General features: G+C 38.8%; 1 annotated feature.

Annotated features, from left to right (window-relative positions):
- Nucleotides 2,198–2,367: an enhancer, noted in NCBI's record as "experimental_8598 CRE fragment used in MPRA reporter constructs". NCBI's record gives its function as "activates a minimal promoter by MPRAs in K562 erythroleukemia cells, with activity observed for both the introgressed and non-introgressed 1:56332074 variant alleles {active_cell/tissue: K562}" and the evidence as "EXISTENCE:reporter gene assay evidence [ECO:0000049][PMID:34662402]".

The raw sequence follows: 3,161 nt of genomic DNA, 5'->3' as shown, positions 1-3,161 counted from the left end.
CAAGGATTTCTATGACAATGCAGTTAAAACATCTATACACTAGCTTGTCCACTAATTTATGTTAAGCTTGTATAGTATCAGCAATATTGTACAGTACCAGACATAAAATTTTAACACTAGCAGAAGTAAACCAAGACCGATGAGGGGCTAAACACTCACAAAAGGTAGAGATGATGATACCTGTAATACAATGTTGATTAAATGTGAGCACAAGGTTTGAGTTTACTGGTAGAATAACTGACTTCTATGAAACTCGTGTTTATCTGAGTAAACTTTTTTTCAAAGAAAGCTTGAGTCATGAGTTAAAGTGAAGAATGACTATTCCTACAGTAAAAGCACTGGCTTTTATTTAGAACGTGGTTTAATTCCATTCCATTTCCTACTGAACGGACACACAAACTCCATTAGAAAAAAAACAAAAAAAAAAAACCCAGGGTGTTATTCCACTAGATAAATGGCTTTCAAATGACTGAATCTCAACTCAAAGAACTTGAAACCTGACACTTACTGGACCTGTGCTCTGGCAAGTCACTTCATCTCTTCAGATCTCCCTCAATAAAATGGAACACTGCCCTCTGAAGGTGTCTGAAAGCCAAATGGGAACATATGAAAACTGATACACAGCCTAGCACAAAATAGCTTCTCATATAGTTCATTTACCTACTGAAATGTGATTTGAAACTTCAGCCTCTAGTGAATTCAGCCTTATCTCTCAAGGGCAGGATTTCTACATTTGAAGACTCCAGCCATGACAAAAGCCATGACTTTGATGAAAACATACTACCCAAATGGCTTTACCTCATTTGGGACTTTAACCTCCTCCTTCTGGGGTTATACTAGACATACGCTATTGTAGTTGACGTGTACTATCTCAAGTCTTCTCAGTTGACCTTTCCTTCATATTATAAAAGTACCCTGCAAGGGACCCCTTTTTCCAAGAAAAACTTGGAATACCTTCTATTTATTCAGTTCCTCCAGTTGTAACTGAGTCATTTTAATTTGTCAGGAAGAAGTGTTCTTGTGAAAAGTATGACTTTGGCATTAGACTTGGGTTGATGTTAGCTAGTCTGTTTACTTAGCTGTATTAATCTGAGAACTTGCTTAATCCCTGGACCTTGACATCATCTGTAAAACTGGAATAACTTAAAGATTGAAAGGGATGCATGTATATTCCCTATGTAGTACCTGGCTTAGGACGAGTACTAGCTAGGCATTAACCTTGCTGATAAGTGTAAGAATCTAGCAATAAATTAACAGTAGCTTTCAAACACTTGACTGCAACCAGTATTTATAAGTAACTTATAGCATGACTTGGAACACATACACCTATGTTTATAACTGAAACAAGCTTTGTGAAACAGCTTACACTTAGTATGAAGGACACTAAAATTCTATCATGCTGTTAAATGCTGAGCATGACCTACTTGATTTCATTCAGCTATCATGAACCATGGCTAGCAGACTGAAATACCGGGGTGGAAAACCCAGTGAAGCATTACTGCTAGCTAGTCTCCATATATGAAGCATCTTCTAGTGGTACTAAGGAGGACTTGGGCAGCTCTACCTTATCTCTCATCTTGGAATCGATGACTGTAATTCAGGAGTCAGAAAGCTTTTGGTGCAACAGGGCAAGATGGTATATATATATATATATATATATATATATATATATATATATATAAATAAAACGCTTTGGGGTCACAAAAGTCTTCTCTTCTCCTCTTATTTTACAACCTCTTAAAAATCATTCTTAGCTTGCTGGGCTGTACAAAAACAGTCTTCAGGTCAGTTTTGACTCATAGGTCTTAGTTTGCTGGCCCTTGATCTAATCAAACAAGCTTCCAACTCGAAGGTCAAAGGGATTCTCTGAAAAGTTCCTTAAGGCTATTGCAGTAGCTTCCACTTTCTCAAAGAATGTAGACAGCCTCTCCACAGATCAGTGTTCGGCCAATAATATTTTATAGTAACTTATTTTAAATGTTTCACTCTTAAGAGCAGAAATAAAGCTTTAACTCAATGGATATATAAAACTCATTTGCAATAAATCAATATTCCTTTTGAATATAACTCTTCAGGGATTCCTTCTACTCTAGTCACACTGGCAATTGGCAGGTAGGAGCAGGAGGCTTAGAAGGATGATCCCTGTCTCTGTCTATCAGTGACAACGTATTAGCTAGTGCACTAGTTTGAGTCCTCCAAGAATCAGATGCCAAGATGCAATCAGATAAAAAATCTACTGGGGGAATTTCTTTAATTGGAAAAAATGAGGGGAAACAGTAGGTAGGGAGAGCCTCTGACCATGATGCAGATCTGACATTTGTAGAATGAGAGGAAAGGAGGGTTTGGGAGAAGACAGACTACGGCACAGTTCTGAGATTGTGTGTCTCTGCAGGGAAATTCCTTCCTTATCCTCCTTGTAGAATAACTGTCTGAGTCTCTAAACTAACAATCTCTAAAGCAAGCTAAGGTGAAGAGTTCCACATTTATAAAAATGAAGCTTAGGTTAACTTGTCAGAAGACTCCGGTATCATCCTAGTTAAGATGTTCCTTAAAGTAATACTTTCTCTCCTGTACTCAGCATTCCTTCAGACTGTCCCCTTAGGCCTATGTTTTTTTCTTTTTGAGATGAAGTCTCGCTCTGTTGCCCAGGCTGGAATGCAGTGGTGCAATCTCGGCTCACTGCAACCTCCGCCTCTCGGATTCAAGCGATTCTCATGCCTTAGACTCCCAAGTAGCTGGGATTACAGGCACATGCCACTGCATCTGGCTAATTTTTTTTATTTTTAGTAGAGACAGGGTTTCATCATGTTGGTCAGGCTGGTCTCGAATTCCTGATCTCAGGTAATCTGATCACCTCAACCTCCCAAAGTGCTGGTATTACAGGCATGAGCCACCACACCTGGCCAGCCTATTTTTTTTATGAATGACTTCAGATATGCCCTGGCTTGCCTCTTCTAGGGCCATCATATTTTTCTAGCAGGTTAAAGTACAGTCTCAGTGGTCTCATCTGTAGCACCAAAATGACACTTCCTAAATCACATGAGTTTGTCAGCCATATTTATTGCACTGAATAGGAAGAATTTGTGTTCTTCCTGACAGGTTCTTGGCTACAAAAGCATTGAAAAGGAGATCTCATCTTCATTTACTCTCTTCAAGTAATC

Source organism: Homo sapiens, chromosome 1 (genome assembly GCF_000001405.40).
Source record: "Homo sapiens chromosome 1, GRCh38.p14 Primary Assembly".
In the NCBI taxonomy this organism is placed as follows: domain Eukaryota; kingdom Metazoa; phylum Chordata; class Mammalia; order Primates; family Hominidae; genus Homo; species Homo sapiens.
This window is presented reverse-complemented; position numbering and strand designations above follow the sequence as displayed.